This window comes from Homo sapiens, chromosome 3, assembly GCF_000001405.40.
Source record: "Homo sapiens chromosome 3, GRCh38.p14 Primary Assembly".
Taxonomy (NCBI): domain Eukaryota; kingdom Metazoa; phylum Chordata; class Mammalia; order Primates; family Hominidae; genus Homo; species Homo sapiens.
In genome coordinates this window covers 64,140,625-64,165,120 of record NC_000003.12, presented here as the reverse complement: position 1 = coordinate 64,165,120, position 24,496 = coordinate 64,140,625, and the positions used below count along the sequence as shown (strand labels likewise).

The following is a 24,496-nucleotide window of genomic DNA, read 5'->3' as shown; positions in this document are numbered from 1 at the left end:
ATTTTCAAGCATCCATAGTAATTCATCTCATATTAGCAATTGTCCCTAATGTTCCATAACGACAATGGAAGTTGGGAGAATGACAAAGTAATGATGGAACAAGGCCTTTCTACAAGCAGTCTTCTGACTTGGGAGTCAGAAGCCCATTCCCCAAGACATGAGACTGGGCGTGCTTTTTTATACCTGGCCTTTGTCTGATGAGGCATATGGCACAGGGACTTTTCTGAGGATGGAATGCTGTGCAAGTCTCTAATAGGCAAATTGCCAGCTTCTAATCCCAAACTAACTAGTGATCTGGGCTTTTACTTCTTCTCAGAGTACTGGTCAACAGTGGGCTCTCTTCAGAACCCGGCATCATTCATTATTGCCCCTGGGCATAGCTCTCTGCCAGCTGCCTATAGGGAGGGGCTTATACAGACCCTGCCTTTGGAAATCTAGCTAGTCTAGGACAAGAATTCTCTTTATAGTTGCCTCTGGGATTTGATTAAAAGGATGATAGGCACATGATGGTTAATGGTTACCATCATTAGTTATGAAAATAAAGATAGCTTTCACATTTTTTAAGGCCTTGTCATTACAAAGCCTTTTCACCCCCTCTTCTAACATTTATGACTTAGTTTCTGGAGATCAAAGTAGACAGAGCTTTCGCACCTCTTCACCCCAGCATTCCCAAAACATGTGTTCATACCCACGGCTCCCTAAATGCAAAGGAATTAGACCAAGTTTAGACCAAGTTTGTAGAATGTAACAAATTTTTTTTTTTTTATTTTTGTTGATGTTTTTTGAGAAAGAGTCTTGCTCTGTTGCCCAGGCTGTGGTGTGTTCAAGCAATTCTCCTGCCTTAGCCTCCTGAGTAGCTGGGATTACAGGCATGCACCACCAGGCCAGGCTAATTTTTGTACTTTTAGTAGAGGCGGGGTTTCACCGTGTTGGCCAGGCTGGTCTCAAACTGCCGCCCTCAGGTGGTTCTCCCGCCCGCCTCAGCCCCCCAAGGTGCTGGGATTTCAGGTGTGAGCCACCATGCCTGGCCAAATATGATGACTTTCAGAGCCCTCAGTCTTCCATCTTCTCCATTTGTTGAATGAATGCCTTGTTTCGCAAGAGGTGCTCATGTCGTTAAATAAGAGATACTTGAGAGTATTTTCCATGATGTCATCTGGGCTTGTGGGATTTTTTTTTTTTTTTTTTTGCCTCTCCTATATAATAACATACCTTCTGTATTAGCCAGTTTTTTCTCTCTAGTTTTGCATGTGGCTGAATGGTGGAATGTCTGTTTTCTTTTCTCAGGCAAAATTAGCTGCTTGGTGCTTTCCCCAGTTGTTAGGGTTGAATGAGCCTCATAAAGTACAAGAATATGTCCTAACAGTCGTAAACAGGAATGTTGTGGGATGTGCAAAAATCCTCATGTTAGTGACAATTTTTAATTACATGCTCTGCATCCCAGATTTAGTGAGTCTATTTCTGATGGATGTCAGCTGCTGCCTGCCTTACAAAAGTCTCGAAACCTGGAGGGCTTTAAATGTAGGTGGAGGCTGAGGTACCTAGGGGTTTGCCGAGTGCCAAAGACTGGCTTTAACTCCATTGCCGAGGCAGGTGCTGACATATCCCTTTGGCTAGGGAGGCACGTCATATGCTGGAGACTAACAGAGAAAATGGTAAAGCCAGCTCTCAGGGGAGTCTGCCGAGAAAGCCCTACCCTCTGGTTCACCAGCATGTCTGCTGAATTCTCTGTTTCTAGGAAAATTTACTAGCTTTATTTTTCCCTCACAGAGAGAGGGAAAAATCCCAGATATGGATGATTTGCCTGACTCTTGCTTTAAGGATGAATTTCTCTGCTTACCATAGGAAACTCATCTGCTGTTGACTTTCATAAAGAGTCAGGACTGCAGAAGTCAGTTACATCCTGCTGGGGGAATCATCTTCCCAGTAAGTGGGAATAGGCACATGGTTTGAGTAATGGGCAAGTCATCTATATGCTTTCTGTCCTTCAGGTACACCAGTACTATAGCTGTCTCCCAGAAGAGAAAGTCCCTTATGTCAACAGTCCTGGAGAGAAACTGCGAATCAAGCAGCTACTACACCAGCTGCCGCCACATGACAATGAGGTAAGGGGCTAGAGGGGGCTTATGCAGAATTTTCTTAGTGCCTTCTATGAATTGTTACCTTTTTCATAATCTGCCACCAATGAGGTAGCCGAAGAAGAACTCTGGCAATTTATTTTAGGTTTTAGCTTCCTTAATTAGGGCCAAAATAAACTGGCCAACAATTTACTTCTAGAGAGTATTACTAAAAAAGCAGAATCTCATTATAAACTGGATTGGCCTCTATGCCTGGCACTACTAGCTATTTGGGGGTAGCCAGGGAGCACTAAAATTCAAAAGCTATGATTCCAAGTTTTCTTACTTGAAGAATATGCCATGTGGGTTTCCTGTGTATTTTGGAGAGATGACTGAGATCCCCTGGACCACTTCAAGTCCTACAAAAGCTTTGTGACTCTCCTGAATTTTCGGCATCATTTCATATTAAATGAGCGTGCAAGTTTTCCACACTACACTGCAGGAGAATTACATGTCCAGATTTGTAGCTTCGAACGTCTGTGTTTTTGTCATGGTGAAGTCTGACTTGCTGAGGTTGTTCTTTGTACTCTTGAAAGTGTGGACTAGCAGACTGTCCTTTTTTCTGAACCCAGAAACATGGCACTGTAAGCGGGCATCTCTTATCCTCGAAATCTGATTGCTCATAAAGAGAAATTTGTAAACATGGTTTTCAAAGATCATTATGCTGGAAGGGAAGTCAGTTTACATGCTAGAAATTCATTTTTAGGTAACTGGTTTTTCAAAATAGTAATCCTATGGAACTGAACTGTCTACTTGACTCTGACTGCATTTAAAACAAAAATGTAATTTTTAATTGATAGGAGAAATAACCCCCTTAGAGAGCTGGGCACCAGCTTTCTACCAACTCTCCAACCCACGAGCTGAATCCCAGCAGCTCCGTCCCAGGGGAAATGAGTGCTTTTCAGTCTTATTTTCCCACATTAGAATGAAAGGGGATCATTTGAGAGCCTCAAAAATAAATTTGAGTAAGCAGGACAAAAACTTTAAAACTGAAGCAGTTCCCTAAAAAGAGAGCTATGATCCTCTTTACTGCTGCTTATTTCAGACATCATAAAGCAAATATAAATAATGCTTTCTCCTTTAAAGTTGAGAGCAAGCATTGTAACCTGATGCCTGGTTAACTAATTTGGAAGTGAAAATGCGGGTTTTTACAAGCAGGAAGGGTGTGCCTTCCTTTGAAAGCATGTCCCTAAAATGTCAGTGGTGTAACCATATATTCTGGGCTGTTCAGGTCACTGCAGTTCTCTCTGGGACGTTTACATGGAGACTTTTTTTTTTTTTTTTTTTTAACTCTTTTTATTTGACAGAGAGAAGGGATTGGCTCTTCTCTGATTTTAGTGGTTTGTTGTGTTTATGGTTAACTGTGCTTTTATGAAAAGAGACACCATTCAGATTACAATGTCCCATTGGTAGGAATTGTGTGTGTGTGACCCAGTGGGCAGATTTAGCCTATTTGAAATGGCTCTTTTGAAGACAAAGGGTGATTGTGATTCTAAAGTAAATATTTGACCATTTTCTTTTTTGCATAGATAAGACAATTTTGATATCCACAGCTGTCCTGGTTTTCAAATTAGGATGTGACAGTCCTAGTTCCAAGGTTTCCCTCTAACCATCTGTGTAACAAATCATCCAAGCAATTCACTTAACCTTTCTGATGTCCAGATTACTCCAAAGTATAACAGGAGACGGGATTAGGACCGTGTTTCCCAAAGTGTGGTATATACATGACTCTGAGTGTTATGTGGACATGGCAGTAAATGAAACGAAACCACATATTGAGAGAGTTACTATATTTTAAGTTGTATTGTATTCCTTGTGATAGAGTAGTTGAATAATCAAGGAGGAAATTTCAATTTAGTGCTAGCAGGTGTCTCATATCTCTCTAACTCACACTGGCCTCCACTTTTAAGTAGGAGCGTCAGGGATCTCTGTTTTAGGATTTCCTGCAAGCAAAGTGACCAGCTAGAATCTAACAACATGGTTCTGTTCCCAGTCTATTTAGGTTTCTTCTGGTTTTTTTGTTTGTTTGTTTGTTTGTTTGTTTGTTTTTGTTTTTGTTTTTACGGGTGATATTGGTTTTCCATTTATAGTTATACTTTCTTTTGAAATAAATGCATCCAAGTTTCCAAAAAACTGAGTCAGTATTAAAAACAGCATTGAGTAAATAACAGTGCAAGAATATAGCACAATTCCCAAGGTGTGCATAAGTAAGGGGAGATACTGGATTCAAATTATCTTTAATGTTCCTCCTTTAATTCTCTGAGTTTCTATATTTAACAAGAAGGAAAATGTCTCTTGCAAGTCGACTCAACTGAAGTCTAGCAGGCAGCTTGTTCCTCTCTCTACAAAGATAAACATGCAGAGACTTTTGTGCAGCATCACAGATGCCTGGTCCAACTCCTCAGGCTCACACCTTTGTTTCCCTGTTTTTCCAAAATGAGACGGGAGAACAGAAGCTGTGAGCACGTGGACACCTGCTCTGGCTCACTGACTTAGAGTCATTCTTGGTGTCAAGGATCACTTGCATGGGCACATGGAGATGAAAGTATCAGGTTCCTGCAGTTTGGAAGAAGGAGAACTTCTCAGCTCTTTCCTGGCAGCTGAGCCACCCCAGATGATTTGATCTTAACATGGTGAGCAGAGTGAGGCAGTCAGGATAAGGAGCAGGCACCTTTAGCCTGCCCAAGGCTTGGGATCCAGAATTCAGAGCCTTTGGTAAGCTCTTTTGGCTGTCCGCAATCTTAGTAGAGACTCACCTTAGTAGAGACTCACCTTAAATCTCTCCAAGGCTGTTGTGGTTAAAGTTCAGGCGAGGGCTATAAAACCAAATGAGAGTGTATTTAACGAGAAAACTCAGAGTCATGGGCTTCAGAAATCTTAAGGAGCAAGGGTGACTTTTTCCATGCCATTGTCTGTGTCTATTCAGGTTCGATATTGCAACTCCCTGGATGAGGAAGAGAAGAGGGAGCTGAAGCTTTTCAGCAGCCAGAGGAAACGCGAAAACTTGGGCCGCGGGAATGTCAGGCCTTTCCCAGTCACCATGACAGGAGCTATTTGTGAACAGGTAAGCATGGATTCAGGGGAGTGAAGAGGCATTGTTCTGGCATCTTTTCACCCATTCATTCATCCAACAATTGTTTTACTGAGTGCCTACTATGTGCCTGAGATACAGTAGTGAACAAAAGACGGGAAAGTTTCATCTTGCCCTTCTAAGGAGTTGGATTCTAGGGGAGGAAGTCAGACAATATATGTAATCAACAAAATAGAAAAAGATACAGCAAGGAAGGAGACTTGAATGTACTGGAAGTGTGGGGAGGCTGCAGTTTTAAGGAAGGTTGATGGGGAAGACCCCACTTAGAAGATCTGAGCAAAGATGTGCACAGATGTGCAAGAGGGAGAGAGTCTTGCAGATTTTAGGGCAGAGGGAATGCTAAGGCAGAAGGAATGACCGGCTTAGAGGCCCTGAGACAGGAGGGTGTCTATTATGTTCAACAGTGAGTTGGCCAATGGGCTGGGGCAGAGGGAGTGAAGGGAGATAATTCAGATAAAGTCAGAGTTCTGGGTGAGCCATTGGAAGAATTGAGCAGAGCAATGGCATGATGGATTTATGTTTTAAAAAGAGACCTTTAGAAAATGGAGTTGGCTTGGGCCATGGGTCAGCCTCCCTCCCAGGATCATCCCAGAACGAGAGCCATTTAAAGGGGAGGTAAATGATCTTCTCCTGAGAATTGAGAGTTCCTTATTGAAGTGCATGAAGCCCTTCCGAGTCATGTTGACAGGAGCTATTTGTGAACAGGTGAGAGTGGGTTCAGGGGAGTGAAGAGGCATTCTCCCTGGGACCTCACTGCGTTCAAGATTCTGGATTTCCTGTCTCCTCTGCTCCTGTTGAGTGCTCAGGGTGTGGTGAAGAAGAGTTTTAGAGACTGCAGGGTGGGAACACACCTTGCCCCACCTCTCAGCTGCCACAGGCTTTCCAGTGCTGATCGTCATTCTTGGTACTTCTCTAAGTCCTACAGCTTTTTGAACATTCCTATCTAACTCCTTAAGCTCTGCGTAGACCCCTTGAGAGCTGAAGATATGTTAACTGGATCAAAGAAGAGGAGGTGGGATGCTGCCCAAGGGAAGCAGATGTCATTTGAGGCCCTTTTTTGAGATTTCAGAGGGGTAGAGTGAGAAGGTTCAGTTATATGGGATGGGGTAGCTAATTGACCAGAGATTTGGCAGTGGGATCTTTATTCTTATGAAGTATATCTGGGACCCACCCTTAAGGTACAGGTGGTCAGTGGTTGTGATCTGAGATTCACTGTGCTCCATCCAGGCAAGGTGAAATCCTTGCTCCTCTCAGATCAGTCTCCTGGAACCAGGCAAGCTGAGTTTGCCTAAGGGAGAAGGAAGGTTGGGCATTTTGTGGGCAGGTGCCAAGAATTGTGTAGAATAGTGCCAAGAGTGTGAAGGCAGAAAGAGCTTTCATAAGTTTGACTCATGTTTCTTCCAGATGACCTTGACCGTGTTACTTTTCCTTGGTTTTGTCATCTATAGAATGGATGAATGATGACTCATGTGAGGGTTATATAGGATTATGTCTGCATGCTTTAGCTCTGCTAACATTATCACGGAAGGTAAGGATAACATGATGCCTTTCTTTTGTCCAGTCACACACGTGGATGAGTTCCCAGAGACTGTTTGTGAGGTCTTTACTTCATTTTCTAAGATACATTTCAACGCATAGCATGGGAAAGATTTGGTGGTAGCTTCTCTGCTCTTTAGACATTGTCCCCTGAGCTCAGCCACTCTTGTATGACCCTAGAACTATACTCAACCTGTGAACCTCAAGGCCCATGCCATGGTCAGCAGAAGCATCTCCCTAGACCTACTTTCCACATTTTATTCTTCCCTCAGAGTCCCTCAAACCATATTCTTTTTGTCCCAACCCCAACTGTAAGCATAGGTGGCCAGTGATTCTGCCTTGTTTCTTTTAGGATCAAGAGGGAACTTGAGAAAATGAGTGAGAAGGTAGGGAAGGGATAGGAAGAAACCCTTTCCATAGTTTGGCCTTAGAAGTGGTGCCGTGTCAATCAAGACTATGTAGAAAGATGTTAGAGGAAGCAGACTAAAAGCATGCCTGAAAGGCACACAGAGAAGGTAGTTAAAGGTGAGCGTGCTGTTATGTATCCACCCTCCCTCCCATATAAAAGTATAGGTCCCACCTCCTCCAAGCCCCGTCCTCCCACCCACCTCCCTCCCCAGCCACTCCTGGTGGTGTTAAACCTGGCTGTGTCTCTGCATGGAGTTTAAAGTATCTAAAAGATAATGAGGCTTTCCTCTGTGCCAGTTTGCCTCCTGCCTGCAGAGCCCCTGTACGTTATTGTGCTAAAAGAGCTTTTCTTTCTTTCCCACCTTTGTGATTCCTCATTCTCCCAATGACTTTCTCTCTACATTATTTGTAAGCCTTAGGAAAGGAGAGTTCAGGGAGGACAAGAAAAACCTGCCCTGCTGCCTGTGTAAAGCAGGAAGCATAGTGACTGCTTTGAACATAAGCACTCAGTAGCCAGCTAATGGTGGTTGTCCTTTATCATTTATGCACAGCACTGGGAGATGGGGGCTAGTGTGACTACTGATGTTTCTGTTTGCCTCACAGTGCGGAGGCCAGATCAATGGTGGAGACATCGCTGTGTTTGCGTCACGCGCTGGCCACGGCGTTTGCTGGCACCCGCCGTGCTTCGTATGCACTGTCTGCAATGAGCTCCTGGTGGATCTGATCTACTTTTACCAAGATGGGAAGATATACTGTGGCAGGCACCATGCTGAGTGCCTGAAGCCGCGCTGTGCTGCCTGCGATGAGGTTAGAGCAAACTCCAGCAGGTTTACCTGCCCATCACCCCTTCATTGCACCATAGCCAACACATGGTCTTCTGGCTTTCTGCACTGAAGAAAGCCATAGGCAACTTCATTTTCTTGCATTAACCCTTTTGGGAGAGAAGCCCCACCCATCCCTGGTTTCTAGAATGTCTGGGGTTGCGGCCTGCTTTACTGAGCGTGGAGGTCTCATAGCTTCCTGTTGGGAAGGCAGTTTCTGTATCCATGAAGATCCCCAAGTGACATATAACTGGCCCTAAGTAAGTTCAGAACCCTAAAAACAAAACAAAACAAAATTGCATTGTGCATCTTTAGATATTAACCCTAATCTCATGGAATAATCAGTAATGGAGTGCCACTTATATCTTAAAATTGTTTCATTTTCCAAGATTCACTGCTGCAAAATGATTAGAAAAGAGAAAATAGGTAGCATTATTTGATTTTTCTACAGTTTATAAAAGTTCTGAGTGAAAAAAAAATTCAGGAGGCAGATGGATACTTCATTTGGATGTCTCTGCCCCATGCTCTAAGAAGTACCCTATGTAAGAAAGCAGGATAGAACGCAAAACCTCTGCCTGGCCTTCTTCCCCTACTAGAAGCACACCCTACCGTGTAAGCTGACAGAATAGAAAACCTGGTTTAGCTTTATAAGTTGGGAGCAGAAAAAAGAATGTTCTAAATCTGACCACTTTTATGGGAATAATTTGGGTAAAAGTCCTAGACAGAGGTTTCCTCCTGTGCAAAGGAGTTTTTTGCATCTATCTTTCTCTGTAAATAGCAGTGTGGGAGGTAAGTAACACTCCCCTTTTTCAGCCAGACAGCCTACTGTTACATGGGCATTTCTTTCTTACAAACTACCTACGAGGGACTCACTTTCTAGGAGGAAGCTGATCAGGCTCAACTAATTTGAATTCTAACACTAATGGTGATGTTCTGGAGAGACCTTCTAGAAAGATAGCTGGAAAACTAAATTCAGGTCCAACTCTGTGGTTCTAGAACACCTTTTGACCTTCATGCCTCAGTTTCCACATCTGAAAATTGGTGCTCAGAATACAGCTTTGTGTTGTCTAATGGCAATTAGAATATGATTGAAGCACACACTTTGAAATTTGTTTATTGAGATATAATTTGCATAGCATTAAGGACCCTTTTAAAGTAAATAATTCAGTGGATTTTAGTATATTCACAAAGCTGTGCAACCATCACTGCTGATTCCAGACCATTTTCATCAACTAAAGAGAAACTCTTTATCCATTAGCAGTCACTCCTCATTTCCCCCTTTCCCTAGCCCCTGGCAACTTCTAATCTATTTCTGTCTCTGTGGATTTACATGTTCTGGACATTTCATATAAGTGAAATCATATGTGACCTTTCAAGTCTGGTTTCTTTCGTTTAGCGTGTTTCCAATGTTAATCCATATAGTAGTATATGTAAGTACTTCATTCCTTCTCGTGGCTGAATAATATTCAGTTGTATGTATGTATCACATTTTGTCTAGCCATGTATCAATTGATGGACATTTAAGTTGTTTCCACTTTTTGGCTACTCTAAACAACGCTGCTATGAACATTTCTGTGTGTACATATATTTTTAGTTCTCTTGAGTGTATACCCAGGAGTGGAATTGCTGGGTCATATGATAATTCTAAGTTTAACTTTTTGAGGGAATGCCAAATTGTCTTCCAAAACAAGTATAACATTTTACATTCCTGCTATCAATGAATGAGGATTCCAATTTGTCCACTTTCTCACTAATACTTGTTATTATCTGTTTTTTTTTTTCATTATAGCTATCGTAATGGGTATGAAGTAGTATCACATTGAGGTTTTGATTCATATTTCCCCAACAGCTAATAATGTTGAGCATCTTTTCATGTGTTTATTAGATATTTGTGTATCTTCTTTTTCAGAGAAATGTCTGAAAAAATTTTTTTAATTTAAATTTTTTGACTACCTTTTCAATTGGGTTATTTTTCCCTTTTTTTTTTTTTTTTTTTTTTAAGACAGAGTCTCACTCTGTCACCCAGGCTGGAGTGCAGTGGCATGATCTTGGCTCACTGCAGCCTCTACCTCCCAGGTTCAAGCAATTCTCCTGACCGAACCTCCTGAGTAGCTGGGATTAGAAGCATGCACCACCATGCCCAGCTGATTTTTGTATTTTTAGTAGAGATGGCGTTTCACCATATTGGTGAGGCTCATCTCAAACTTCTGGCCTCATGTGATCCACACACCTCAGCCTCTCAAAGCACTGGGATTACAGGTGTGAGCCACTGTACTTGGCCTATTTTTCTCATTATTGAGTTGTAAGAGTGATTTGTATATATTCTGTATACTAGTCCATCATCAGATAGATGATTGGCAAATATTTTCTCCCATTCTATAGCTGTGTTTTCACTTACTCGATGATGTCCTTTGAAGCATAAAGTTTTTAATTTTGATGAAGTCTACGTTATTTTTTGTTGTTTATGCTTTTAGCATCATATCTAAGAAACCATTGCCTAGTTCAAGATCATAAAGATTTACACCTGTGTTTTCTTCTAAGCGTTTTATTGTTTTTTTGCCCCTAGCTCTTTAAACCCATTTGAATTAATTTTTTTTTCTTCGAGATGGAGTTTCACCCTGTCACCCAGGCTAGAGTGCAGTGGCACGATCTCAGCTCACTGCAAGCTCCGCCTCCCAGGTTCACGCCATTCTCCTGCCTCAGCCTCCCAAGTAGCTGGGACTGCAGGTGCCCGCCACCACACCTGGCTATTTTTTTTTTTTTTGTATTTTTAATAGAGACAGGGTTTCACTGTGTTAGCCAGGATAGTCTCAATCTCCTGACTTTGTGATCCACCCACCTCGGCCTCCCAAAGTGCTGGGATTATAGGTGTGAGCCACCGCACCCAGCCTTGAGTTAATTTTTATGTATGATGTAAGGTAGGGGTTTGAATTCATTATTTTACATGAGGCTCTCCTGTTGTCCCAGCTCTGTTTGTTGAGAAAACTATTCTTTTCCCCATGGAATGGTCTTGGCCTCCTTTTCAACAATTAATTGACCATGTATGTATGAGTTTAAATCTGGATACCTATTCATCTATATGCCCAGCCTTATGCCAGTGCCATGCTGGCTTGATTACTGTAGCTTTATAGTAAATTTTGAAATCTGTGCTTTGAAATTTTAAAAACTCTATATTGGGGGAAAATGCAAACACTTGTGAGGGCCTGGCAGGTGCTGTAAATGAAGGTGACTTATTTTAAGGCAATAGGGAAGGGTGAAGAATATGACAAACTGGAGAACTTGCCACTCATTGGAAAGCAGCAGCCTCTCTTCTTAGCTCTAGTTTATTACTGCCATGTAGGAATGTGCACTGAGCATTGCAAATGTTGTGTTTTCAAAAGATAAACCAGGATTACAAGTGTTAATATGATATTTTCCATTTAAAAAAATAATATGGCCAGGCCAAATGAAGCAGATATGTATGTCCAATGTGCCTGTGAGCTGTCAGTTTTTGATCCTGCCTTATATTCTCCAGGGTAGAACATTCTTTCTCTTATTAAATGTGGTTAAGTTAATTACTGGCTAGGCCAGAAATCATGTTTAATTATGCTTTAGGTAAATCCATGTATAGGAACTGATATACATACAGAATAAACATATCCATATGGATTTTTGTTTAATTATTTGTGAGTAGGATCTGCTTTCTTACCCTTCTAGTTCAAGGACCCCATAGCTTTCTTCCTTTAAAATATGTTCTGGATGGGTTTTACACACTGACCATTTGGCTTCCCCATCTCCAGATCATCTTTGCAGATGAATGCACAGAAGCTGAGGGGCGACACTGGCACATGAAACACTTTTGCTGCTTCGAGTGTGAGACAGTGCTGGGCGGCCAGCGCTACATCATGAAGGAGGGAAGACCCTACTGTTGCCACTGCTTCGAGTCCTTGTATGCAGAATATTGTGACACCTGTGCCCAACATATAGGTGAGGCAATATTTGGCAGTCAGCTTGGTCCTTCTGTGATGCGGTCACCTTTGTTTTGGGTGTAGTTAAAGTATCTTTGATTGCAAGTGTTAGAAACCCAACTCATGCTAACTTAACTGAAAAAGGGAATTTCTTGATTCATGACACTAGAAAGGCCAAGAAGTATACTAGCTTCAGATAGGGGTGGATCAAGGGTTCAGACAAAACCGATTTTTTTCTCTGTATCTCAGCTTAATTTGCCTTCTGTTAACATCATTTGGGAGAAGCTGTCTTCACCTAATGGTCGAGATGACTCACTAGTGATACTAGTCTTAGTATTTGCATTCTCAAAAGGAGAGGAACTGTGTCTCTTCCAGTTTTCAGGTCAGTTCTTCCAAATAAGAATCTTTTCAGCCTTGCTTTGGTCAAGGGCCCACCTCCAAGTGGGGACTATGTGCCATACAGTCCCACAACCGAGGCTCAGGGCAGTGGGGGAAGCTCAGAAGGAAAATCTAAACAGATATCTTCCATAGCCTCCTTGGGACAAGTTGGGGATTTGCAGAGGAGGAACCAAAGTGGTCTCTTGGTGGAGAGGGATTGTCAAGGAAACCCAGTGGCTTCTGGCAAGTATGTCTTTAAAAAAAAAAAAATAGCAAAAGCTACTCCAGCCAAATGCAAAGCAAATGAACTTCAAATAGTCCATAAACTATTAACTCCCCCAATAAGTGGCAGATCTGAGATGGTGAAAATCATTTTCCCTCTGCAAATACCCAATTTGTTCAACCCTTTAACGCTGTTCCAGATCATACTGCATTGTGGCTTCTTCATTCAACTTGCCTTTTCTGGCACCTTGGGAAGGAGCCAACCTTGGAGGGAATAAAAAAGTTGGCAGTGGCTGAATGTCTGTGAGATCACAGCCAGATCATCCAGTGGCTTGTGCAATCCCAAGAAGTCTGTTCAGAAGCTGCCGATTTCTTACCTAGAGTGAGGAGATACAGAGATAATCCATTTTGGAGCCCATTTTGCCCCACTTAAAAGGTTTTATCAGGACCAAAAAAAGTGGCTTTGTTTTCTTGGTTCATAAGAAGTGATGTATTCAAATAAAAAAATTAGCTAGTATTTGGAGAGCTCTGTGTGCTGATAAAAACCCTGGCTTTGTGGACAAGACAGCTAGCGTGTGCTCAACGGTGCTTTGTCATTGGGCATTCTTGTCCCACATGCTCAGGCCTGGGCTTAAGCTCTGCTGTGAAGACCTCTGTTCAGCTGCATTTCCTTCTGGGGGCTTAGGTGATGGCAAATTTCCCATCCCCTAACCCCTAAAAACCTCACCCCTCTCACAGCCTGTTGCTTCAACTCAGTACCCAGGAGCTTTCATGTCTCACAAGATCAAAGTAGTCAAACAGATAAACCTTCTTTTTGCTAAGAGTTAGGAAATGCGAAGATCAGTTGTGACAAGTGACAAGACGTGTGTGGAAGGGGAGAGGTAGGACAGTGTCAGGGAAAATGGTGCAATGTCTTGACTCAGTATTGCCCAACCGAGGATTCAAGTCTGCAAGTGCACACTTGCTCAGATGAGAGGGGCCATGTGTGCAGAATACCAGCCCATGGCAACAATACCCCTTCCCATCCATATTTCTGTTTTTCCTGTTTCTGTCCTTGGAGGCTAAGAGCCTCTCCAGAAACTGCCACTTAGAATTTTTGCTCAGTACTTGGCAGAGAGAAAAAATCTCTCTGTTGCTGCAGCATGTACACCTCAGATGGCCCCTCGGTTTTCTTCTCTTTCTTTCGCCCTTTGGCTGCCCAGCACATTTATTGGCATTCTCTCCTCCTTTCCTATTAAATCCATTAAAGGGTGTCAGTGTTTTATCAGAAAAGGTGACCATGGTGGCCTGCAGTATTATTGCTGCTGTAGTTAAAATGCTGTCCCTAATGTTTGTTTTAAATCCACTTTTTTACCAAACATAATTTTCCTGTGACAGTGAAAGAGCACACTCTATATAGCATGCATACCTCAGTCACTGGGTGCTTTACCTCTGACCATACTGTACAAATATTCCATATTTATACAGCCGCTCAGAGCAGGCCCTGCGTCAGGCAGCCGTTGCTAGGGCAACGGTACTTTTGCCTGTGCACAGCAGAGTAAACAGTCCTATAAACAGACCGAGGCTGTGGCAGCAGTAGACACACACACCCTCCAAGAAGTACTTAAAGGGCTTAGAGAAGGAATAAAAAAAGAACGCTTAGATGTCGAACAGCAGAGCCCTTTTCCAGATGTTTAGAGTTCAGGAGCAGTTCAGAGGACCATCTGACATCGATGTTTATCGGGGACCACGTTCTGCTGCCTGCCAGGCCGCTTTATGATATGCCTCCCCTCCACTCTCCCAAACTGAGCCCTTCCTTCCATGAGGCCCCCATCCCGAGGAACTAGGCCCTTGCTGCTGCATCTGAGCATGTGTGCTTGCCAAAGCTTGGAGAAGCAGCTGGTGGCAGACAGACCAGAGGGACTGGACTTCCTGTGTACCTCTAACAGGGAGTGGGGATAGCCGCAGCTGCTCTGGATGCTGTGCTGATTAGAGCTCACCAAAGGACCCAGGGATGCCATCATGAGCTCTCTGCACTCTTGGCATTTGAGAAAGGGAGTGAGAAGAAGGAGGAGGAAGAAGGAGGGTGGGAGAGGGCAGGAGAGACAGAGCAGCCTCCTAGTTATTTCTTGGAATGCATCTGGGCAGTGACCCTCAGCGAAGAGAGAGGCAGGCTTTCAGACCTAACGCAATAAAAGAAGAGTGGTCAGTAGGCCCAGTTCTCAGCACTCCATGCATGTTAACTCCATTACCAAGTACTATGATTATCCCCATTGTACTGATGGGGAGACCAAAACAAAGAGAAATGAAGCAATTTGCCTAGGGTCACACAGCTGGAATGCAGCAGAGTCAAGATTTGAACCCAAGCAGATGGCCGTCAGCATCTTTACAACCAGCTGCTGTGGGATGGAGCTGGGATTTGAACCTGTGTTCATCAGAGTCCTGAAGGCTTATGCTTAACTACTACAGAGTCCCATGTCCCTGTGATGTCTGCCTCAGCTTTCTCCCAAGGGTCTGGGGAGGAAGTGTCCACGGCGCTCGGGGTTGTCTGTTTCTAGCCCCGCCCCAGCTGGTTATTTCTCACTCTGCTGGGGAGCACTGGTGCTGTAAGAGATGGAGTTGATCCGTCTCAAAAAAAAAAAAAAAAAAAAAGATGGAGTTGATTCAGTTGATTCACACAGTTTCCTGTCTCCCACTTGGGGTGACCCTTGTGGCTGCTCCTATCCCTATAAAAAAAAATCCCCTCTTAGTCTCTAAGGCCAGGTTTCAAAATGAAAAGAGAACCCCATAGTTTGGGAAAGAGCTAATACGAGAAGAATTGCCCTCATTCCTCTCTCCCTGGGCTCCATTGACACAAAAGTGAGTCAGGGAGGAGAAAGGTAGGCTGCTTGGGCCGGTGGCCTTTTGTTCTTGCAATTCTCTTCTTCTCCCTAATTTCTGGTTCATTGCCTCTTTAGACAAGTCTCCAGAAGTTCTTCCTTGAAAGTCCAGGCTCAGGAACTCTCAGCCACTGAAGATAAAGGCCACATTAGTCCCTTTTTCTGGGAAGCCGTGTATCATTACGCATCAGGAGAATGCAGGGGTCCTGGTCCACCCTACAGTCATAGCTTGAGGCTATATTCCCAGCAGGCTCTCCCCACGGGAAGGGGCCCCAGCAGCTCCCAGTTTCCATTCTGCCAGTTTTACTGCTGCTATAAAAAGAGCCTGCTGTGTGACTGCCTTAGCAAAAGTCCTGCCTTAGAAAAAGCAATGAGAGGTGTTGGCTTAGTGCAGGTCACTTGCCCACCCCTGAATCAGTCCCTGGGTGCCAGGAGAGCAGATTTTTTTTGCTGGCCTATGTTGGGCCCCAGATCAGCTTTTGCCCCACCCAAAGCTCACGGCCTGAAGATGGCAGGGAAATGGTGTCCCACAGGGAGAGGAAGTCCTATAACCAGAAGAGGGCAGAGATGATGAGAAGGCAGAACCCCTGGGGCTGTGGGAGGCTCCCTTAGTACGCAGTGTGGCCAGGCTATATAAACCTGGCGCAGGCCTGTCACAGGGAGGAATCGTACCTCTTCCTTCCCTGATGAAATTAAGCAAAGGGTACTTACGCTCCCAGAGGGGCAGTAGCTTTGGCAATACCGTGTCTAGGTTTTTCTTTACCGAAAGCAGATTTTTCCTTAACAAGAGTTGAAATCCACATTTTTATTTCCCACTAAGTCTGTTGAGACTGCTTTAACGGAATAGCACAGACTGGGTGGCCTCTGAGTAACAGAAATGTATTGCTGACAGTTCTGAAAGCTGGGAAGTTCAAACTCAAGGCACCAGCAAATGCAGTGTCTGCTGAGGGCCTGTTTTTTGTTTCCTGGATGATACTTTCTGGCAGAGTCATCATATAGTGGAAGGAGCAAACAGGCTCCCTTGGGCCTCTGTTATAAGGGCACTAATCTCATTCATGAGGTATCCACTCTCATGACCTAGTCACCTCCCAAAAAGCTCCATCTCCTAATGCCATCACTTTAGGATTTAGGTGTTAAACTTAGGAGTTCTGAAGAAAACATTCACCATAGCATCCACTGAGTTGCTGCTGTGACTTACCCATTGGAATAGCATATGCTAGTAATGGGATTCACTCGATCTATCTACACACAAAGAGCCCTGTCATACACCAGGCCATGTTCCAGGTCCTGGAGATGCTGTAGAAACTCAATGAGTCTGTCCTCATAGAGCTTCACTTTTAGCGGGGGAGAGAAATAATAAACAGATGCATGTATATACTGTTGTAATGTAAAGCGGTATTAATGCTATCAAGAAAACTCCAGCAGGTAAGGGTGGAGAGTAATGGAGAATCACTATTTAGTGTGGATAGGAAGACTTCTCAGAGGAGTTGGCTTTTGAGCAGATGCCTAACTAGAGTGAAGGAGATAGTGTCAATGTCATGGTTGAGAATAAGACTTCCTGGGTACAGATCTCGTCTCTGGTTCCTAGTTATGTTACCCTGCCAAGTTACTTAGCCTCATCTGCCTCTACTTTCTCATGTGAAAACTGCAAATAATATTAGAAAGCTAGCTCAAGGAGCTGAGTGATTAAATGAGTTTACATATATAAAGCTCTTAAAGCAGTACATGATCATACGTTAATATTACTATTGCTATTTGTCAGGGGGAAATGTGTCCCAGGCAGAAGGATTCATAGACAAGCCATTTTAACCTAGAGTCTTTGTGCTTGGAGCAAATGAGTTAAGGCGCATACTGGTACAACAAGGACTTCTCGTAATAGGACGTGAATACCATTTACATAAGGGTCTGATTGTTGATTTATTGACAGTTTATCCTGCCGCACCTGGAATCCTGAGACAAACCAAGGTGCTATGTGTTTCACGTCCCAGTGCAGAGCTCTGAGCAGCTCATCAGCCTCTCCAATGTCTCTCATTTTTTTAGGTATCGACCAAGGTCAAATGACCTATGATGGCCAACACTGGCATGCCACTGAGACCTGTTTCTGCTGTGCTCACTGCAAGAAATCCCTCCTGGGGCGGCCATTCCTCCCGAAGCAGGGCCAGATATTCTGCTCACGGGCCTGCAGTGCTGGGGAAGACCCCAATGGTTCTGACTCCTCTGATTCCGCCTTCCAGAACGCCAGGGCCAAGGAGTCCCGGCGCAGTGCCAAAATTGGCAAGAACAAGGGCAAGACGGAGGAGCCCATGCTGAACCAGCACAGCCAGCTGCAAGTGAGTTCTAACCGGCTGTCAGCCGACGTAGACCCCCTGTCACTGCAGATGGACATGCTCAGCCTGTCCAGCCAGACACCCAGCCTCAACCGGGACCCCATCTGGAGGAGCCGGGAAGAGCCCTACCATTATGGGAACAAGATGGAGCAGAACCAGACCCAGAGCCCTCTGCAGCTCCTCAGCCAGTGCAACATCAGAACTTCCTACAGTCCAGGAGGGCAAGGGGCTGGGGCCCAGCCCGAAATGTGGGGCAAGCACTTCAGCAACCCCAAAAGGAGCTCGTCACTGGCCATGACAGGACATGCTGGCAGCTTCATCAAGGAATGCCGAGAAGACTATTACCCGGGGAGGCTGAGATCTCAGGAGAGCTACAGTGATATGTCTAGTCAGAGTTTCAGTGAGACCCGAGGCAGCATCCAAGTCCCCAAATATGAGGAGGAAGAGGAAGAGGAAGGGGGCTTGTCCACTCAGCAGTGTCGGACCCGTCATCCCATCAGTTCCCTGAAATACACAGAGGACATGACGCCCACAGAGCAGACCCCTCGGGGCTCCATGGAATCCCTGGCCCTGTCTAATGCAACAGGTAGGTTCTGTTCACCTTGAAAACAGATAGAAAGGGGGTAGTCTCTGGGTGACTGGATGCTGGTCCCCAGGAATTTTTTTTTTTTTTGAAATGGAGTCTCGCTCTGTCCCCCAGGCTGGAGTGCAGTGGCACGATCTCCGCTCACTGCAAGCTCCACCTCCCGGGTTCACGCCATTCTCCTGCCTCAGCCTCACGAGTAGTTGGGACTACAGGTGCCCGCCACCATGCCTGGCTAATTTTTTTGTATTTTTAGTACACACGTGTTTCACCGTGTTAGCCGGGATGTTCTCGATCTCCTGACCTCGTGATCCACCTGCCTCGGCCTCCCAAAGTGGTAGGATTACAGGCGTGAGCCACCGTGCCCAGCCTGGTCCTCCGGATTTTAATGTTGTTTCTGCCACGTGCCCTCTTCTAATAGGCTGCTGAGGAAGGTAAACCCAAGTTTGAGATGGCTTCTATCTTTGATGGGCTTCCCTGTAAACAAAGCCTGAGACAGGTCCAGATGCCTGTGATGTACTGAGGGAGTGCTCTCAGGAGAAGGGGAGTGAGAGAAAGAGGACAGAGCATGGGGAGGAGCCAAGTGAGGAATGGTGTCTTCACTGGGGTCTGGCTTCTGCCTGATCCCACAGGGGACTCTGATGGATGAGTTGCACTATAGAATCAATTGCTTCTTGTGACGAAGGGGCTGATGTTTTGTACCATCGTGTTAGTTGGTCATCAGCTTTGGGCTGCTGAGGAGTGACAAAGGGATGAGATAGTGGATGTGGGCTTGGGGCAAGGCAGCTCCTGTTGGCCAAAGGCAGCATTAAAGAAAGAAAATACTATGGTCTGAATGTTTTCCCCAAAATTCTTAAATTAAGATCCTAAATCCCAAGGTGATGGCATTAGGAGAAGGGGCCTTTTGGGAGGTGATTAAGTCATGAGAGTGGAGACCTCATGAATGGGATTAATGCCCTTATAAAAGAGGTCCAAGGGAACTTGTTTGCCCCTTGTACCATATGAAGGTGGAGAAGGTGTAGCTGTGAGCTGATGGCAGTACTCACAGCACCTGGAGCCCAGTTGCCCCAGCGTGGTGCTGCCTGGGGCACCAAAGCATCCATGACAGCTTCTGAGACTGTTCTGAACCTGTTTCTCACCAGGGAACTGGCTTCAAAGTGCAGATAAAGACATAAGAAATGTTTGGCTAGACAAGGAGAAGACAGGCAGGCTGAAAAGAACAGAAGTAGAGAGAGAGAGATAATGGCATGCTTCTCTCTCCAGTGAAGTTGTCCAGCTGGTTTTGTGTGCGTGGGAAGACTGATGTTGGCCAGGCATGGTGGCTCATGCCTGTAATTCCAGCACTTTGGGAGGCCAAGGCAGGAGGATCACTTGAGGCCAGGAGTTGGAGACCAGCCTGGGCAACATAGTGAGACTCTGTCTCTACAAACATATATGTGTGTGTATATATATAAAATATATAGCGTGTGTATATATATATCATATATAATATATATTGTGTGTATATATAATATATAAATATATATGATATAATATATACAAATATATTATATATATATATATAAATTAGCTGGACTTGGTGGCACATGCTCATAGTCCCAGCTACTTAGGAGACTAAAGCAGGAGGATCACTTGAGCCCAGGAAGTTGAGGCTGAACTAAGCAATGATCCCACCTCTGCACTCCAGCCTGGGCAGCAGAGTGACAACCTGTCTCTAGAAAAAAAAAAAAAAAAATTTAATATTATTGATTTAATATTTTAAACATTATTTAAAAAATATTTTTAAATGTGGGAAAAAATAGAGTAACGTAGATTTTCTCTGTGATAGTGCTACTTAAAGCAGAATCTGAGGATAACACTGGCTGAGAACTATCACCCATCAGCAGTGAGATTAGTACTTAACACCTATCAGCAGCGAGATTAGTACTGAAACTGGAAGTGTTAGAAACTTATAGCAGTTCGATGTTGCGGTGCCATCCAAGTGCGTTTTCAGCAGGCTTGTCTTATTGATCAGGTTATAGACCCATCAGGGTGTTATAGAACTCACATACTGAGCTCTTTGTGCTTTGTGCTGTGTCTCAGACATGCTCAGCAGGGCCATATGTCGGTCCACAAGGGATTGAAAATGAAAACAAACTGGTCCTTCACCACTGATAGCTTGAGAAGAGTAGCGCTCTAAGATGTGCTAAGTATATCTGCCCCTTTGTGGGCAAGGTACCAGAGGAGGGAGATATACGTCTGCCCCTTACAGCAAGGATTCCATAGCCGATGGTGTCTGGATAGAGACTGTGATAATGTTAGCCCCATTTGAAGGGGACGGCCACTGCTCAGCTCCAGCTGCTTGTTGCCATGTGCTGGGATATTTATGTATCCACCTAACCTTTATATAGCTCTTGCAATGTGTCAAACATTGTTCTGAGCACGTCATAAATATTAGCTTGCTTAATTACATTGTCATAACACTGTGAGGGAGGAATATTGTTATGATTCTCATTTCAGAGTTGAAGAAACAGAAATGGAGAGGTTGAGGGACTCACCCAAAGTCACTCAGCTTTCAGAGTGGTAGAGCAGGGATTTGAACCTGTGCATATGATTTCAGAACCTTGCTCTTAATCACACCAGGCTGCCAGTCTAATACAAGCCCCATCCTGTCAGATCTTCCAGTTTTTCCAGAGAAGTTAAAAATGTGGATTTTTAAAAATATGAAATCTATTTCAACACTGCTAGACAAACAAAATGAGGCTCTGAGTTGTAGCTTGTCCATGCAGTGGGTTTTACTTTCTATCCTCCTCAAATACATCCACATCTGTGTTCCCATTTGTCCAAGAACAAAGAGTAGATATCCTCATCCCCATGTTTCAGATGGAAAAAAAAAAAAAAAATGAGGCCTTGGTGACTAAGCGCCTTGCCTGATGTCTTAGAAGGGAGCAATTAGTGCAGAGTGATGACTGCCTGGCTTCCAGCCCAGGTTATGTTATTCTCGAAAGATTTATGTGCTATAATTATTTAAGAGGACAGCAGATAAATATATACTTCAGCCTCTGAAGAAGAGTTTCTCAAAGCTAGACCACCTGCATTAGAATCATGGGTGTGCTTGATTCAAACATAGGCTCCTGGGCCTCCCCCTAACCCCTTGCATCAGAACTCTACAGAGGTGGGGCCCAGGAATCTGCATGTTAAGCAGATCTCTGCTGAGGCTGATGTGCACCATTGTCTGAGGGGAGATGTGCCTGGGTTTGTCTGCTCTGACTGTATCATCCTCACGTTGTGGCTCATGAGGAAATCAGAAGGGCTAGAGGTTGAGGAATGCTGGAAAGGGCAAGTGAGGAAGACACTCAATTTCCATTCCTAAGGAGGGAGTGGACGCGGTTTCCATTCCTAAAGAAGACATCATGGGAGATTTACTCTCATGATTTTCTAGGATCCTTGGGCAAAGCAACTAATGCCCCTTTGCCTCAGATTTTTGGGAAGCAACCCTGGCCATGCCTGATAAAACTGAGGGAAAAAAACTCCTGAGATCAGCACTGTCTAATATGGCAGCCATATGGGGCTGTGGAAATTTAAACGAATTAAAATTAAATGAAATTAAAATTTCAGGCCATTAGTTGCACTAGACACATTTTAAGTACTCAACAGCAATGGCCTGAAGTTTAAATTTTATTTAATTTTAATTCTTTTAAATTTCAATAGCCTCCTGTGGCTAGAGGTGACCCTGCTAGAAGGTGCAGATGACAGAGTGAACTGATAAGATGGGCACGATATTAAGCCATCATTAGTCTCTGAAGTTCTTACATGAGCCCTAATTTTTTGTCTTTCTAATTAATTAATAGTTAGGATTACTGGTTCTGGAGTCACACTTGCTGGGATGAGATCAAGCCTTCATCATTTAGGAGTTGTGTGGCCTTGAACAAGTCACTTAAACTCTGCAAAACTCAATTTCCTCATCCATGGAATTTTGTGAATAAGTGGATAAAGGTGTTCCTGTAGTACTTCCTTTGTATAGCTTTGGTGAGGGTTAAATGATAATTGCGTTTAAAATCATTAATATAGTCTTTGACACATATGACCTTCTATAATGGTTACCTGCGACTTTTTATTATTATTAATTCTTTCTCCTCCCAAACACACTGATTCAAGTTTTGACCTGTTGTGGCTACTAACTTCTCCCACCATCCACCAGCTGTGCAGGTTTGCATTTTAGATTTGAAAATACTCCTGCATGGGCCAGGCGTGGTGGCTCACACCTGTAATCTCAACACTTTGGGAGGCCAAGGCAGGTGGATCACTTGAGGCCAGAAGTTCAAGACCAGCCTTGCCAACGTGGCAAAACCCCGTCTCTACTAAAAATACAGAAATTAGCCAGGCATGGTGGTGCATGACTGTAGTTCCAGCTTTTTGGGAGGCTGAGGCACAAGAATCACTTGAACCCAGGAGGCGGAGGTTTCAGTGAGCCAGGATCACACCACTGCACCCCAGCCTTTTGACAGAGCAAAACTCTGTCTAAAAAAAAAAAAAAAAAGAAAGAAAGAAAGAAAATACTCCTGCAGGCTCCTTTTTTCCTAACCAGCCTGAGAAAACCATGAAAAACAGGGAATTAAAGAAAGTCATTTTGTGTGCGTTTCTATGGTTCTGTCAGATATGACAGTGTCAGAAGAAAGATGGTGGCTAATATTCTAAGCACAGCTTCATCATTCCTCATTGGAGCAGACCCTACATAGCCTTTCACATCCTACTCTGCACACCCATACACCGAGGACTAGACTTGGAAAGTTGGTGTTTTTGCTGCTGTCCCTCACTGTTTACATTTGAATTTTGCTAGAAAATTCAGTAGTTTTTTTTTTAATAGCATTCTAAACTATCTGCATATCTTTAAATCCTAGAATCACAGTCTGAATACCAGGTACGTGCCACAAAAGGCTTAGTGAAAGCACCTTGATCCTTCAGATAAAGCTAGATTTCAAGATGATGGATTCTTTTTTCTTCCATGGTCAGTAACTTATGTTATTGAATAAGTCTGTAGTGTTTAATCTGGCATGAAGTGTGATCTTTCTGTGGGCAGCATTTTTCCTCAGAACAGATCTGAAAAAACAGATAGCTGCACTGGCTTGTCAGCCTCAGATCTGGGCTTTGGCCTCTCCCAATGTGTTTAGAACTGGGAGTGTACAGTCCCTTCTCCTTGGAAAACACAATTCATCCCTTATGCTTACACGGAGTGACTCAGGCTGGCACAGCCACCATTTATACCACTGCAATGCAGAAGCCTTGCAGAAGCGCTTTAACTTTGCCAGCCCCTAAACATGCCTCTAAAGCAGCTTGCAGCCTGCGTAATCATAGCATTAGAAGTAGAAATAATAACAACATCAAGAACAACTGACATTATTGAGTGTTTATATGGACTGGATGTTTTTCTAAGTACTTTCCATAAACTAAACTCACTCAGTCCTCACAACAACCCTATGAGGTAGGCATGGTTGTTATTCCCATTTTACAGATGGTGTACATGAGGCACTGAGAGGCTGAATAGCCCAAGGCCACATTGCTTGGAAGTAGAAAAGCAGAATTTAAACTTGGGCATTCTAGCTACAGAGCTTGTGCCCTTAAACACTGTGCTATGGCTGATGTGAATGACCATGGTAAATGTACTGCTGCTTCTGATGTTGATTGTAACCAATGATAATCATAATAGACCACTGGCTATGACCTGACATGCTAATGGCTTCATGTAGAATGCTTCTTTAAATGCTGTGAGATAAATCTGATCATTATACCCATTTTACATATGGGTACACTAAGGTTTATAGAAGTAACCCTTTTGTAGTCGCCACAGATGGCGAGGACTTGATCCCAGGTGTGATCAACTGCAAAGCCATGCACTTAACTGGCCTGATATTCCTCACAAGAAGGGTCATAATCACAGTCAGAAGACTTGCACAACGGCTTTAGCTGAAGGGATAGGCATTTTCTCTCCTGTGACAGCTGGCTTGTTGATTTGTCTGTTTGCCAATGCTAAAGAGAAGCATGCGAGCACAGCTGTGAATGCCAGAAGTCAGAGGTGGCAGTCCAAGATGATGTGCCAAGGTCAGAGGTAGGAAAGACAAGGCAGACAAGCAGAGATGGTCCAGGGGCTGGTGCCTGGGCAAGAGACACCAAGGGCAGAGTGGGGGACCAAGGCATTAGTTGCAAATTAGAGGTCAGGGCTCAAGCCACA

The 24,496-nt window shown here is 44.0% G+C and overlaps 1 protein-coding gene across 2 annotated transcripts in view, besides 4 other annotated features; it reads left to right on the top strand.

Annotated features, from left to right (window-relative positions):
* Positions 1-24,496, top strand: part of PRICKLE2 (prickle planar cell polarity protein 2) — a 175,938-nt gene that overhangs the window by 103,053 nt on the left and 48,389 nt on the right. For both annotated transcript variants that reach the window (NM_001370528.1, NM_198859.4), the window contains exons 3-7: positions 1,992-2,105; positions 5,044-5,181; positions 7,756-7,959; positions 11,753-11,939; positions 17,419-18,291. In NM_001370528.1, coding sequence (NP_001357457.1) covers positions 1,992-2,105; positions 5,044-5,181; positions 7,756-7,959; positions 11,753-11,939; positions 17,419-18,291 — 1,516 coding nt within the window. The remainder of the gene's footprint in view (positions 1-1,991; positions 2,106-5,043; positions 5,182-7,755; positions 7,960-11,752; positions 11,940-17,418; positions 18,292-24,496) is intronic.
* Positions 987-1,488: an enhancer, noted in NCBI's record as "H3K4me1 hESC enhancer chr3:64149309-64149810 (GRCh37/hg19 assembly coordinates)". NCBI's record gives its function as "activates a minimal SCP1, AML or CMV promoter by ChIP-STARR-seq in primed H9 embryonic stem cells {active_cell/tissue: H9 hESC(primed)}" and the evidence as "EXISTENCE:reporter gene assay evidence [ECO:0000049][PMID:30033119]".
* Positions 7,294-7,794: an enhancer, noted in NCBI's record as "H3K4me1 hESC enhancer chr3:64143003-64143503 (GRCh37/hg19 assembly coordinates)". NCBI's record gives its function as "activates a minimal SCP1, AML or CMV promoter by ChIP-STARR-seq in primed H9 embryonic stem cells {active_cell/tissue: H9 hESC(primed)}" and the evidence as "EXISTENCE:reporter gene assay evidence [ECO:0000049][PMID:30033119]".
* Positions 7,795-8,296: an enhancer, noted in NCBI's record as "H3K4me1 hESC enhancer chr3:64142501-64143002 (GRCh37/hg19 assembly coordinates)". NCBI's record gives its function as "activates a minimal SCP1, AML or CMV promoter by ChIP-STARR-seq in primed H9 embryonic stem cells {active_cell/tissue: H9 hESC(primed)}" and the evidence as "EXISTENCE:reporter gene assay evidence [ECO:0000049][PMID:30033119]".
* Positions 13,874-14,168: a silencer, noted in NCBI's record as "tiled region #15033; HepG2 Repressive DNase unmatched - State 8:EnhW". NCBI's record gives its function as "represses a minimal TATA promoter and a strong SV40 promoter by Sharpr-MPRA in HepG2 cells {active_cell/tissue: HepG2}" and the evidence as "EXISTENCE:reporter gene assay evidence [ECO:0000049][PMID:27701403]".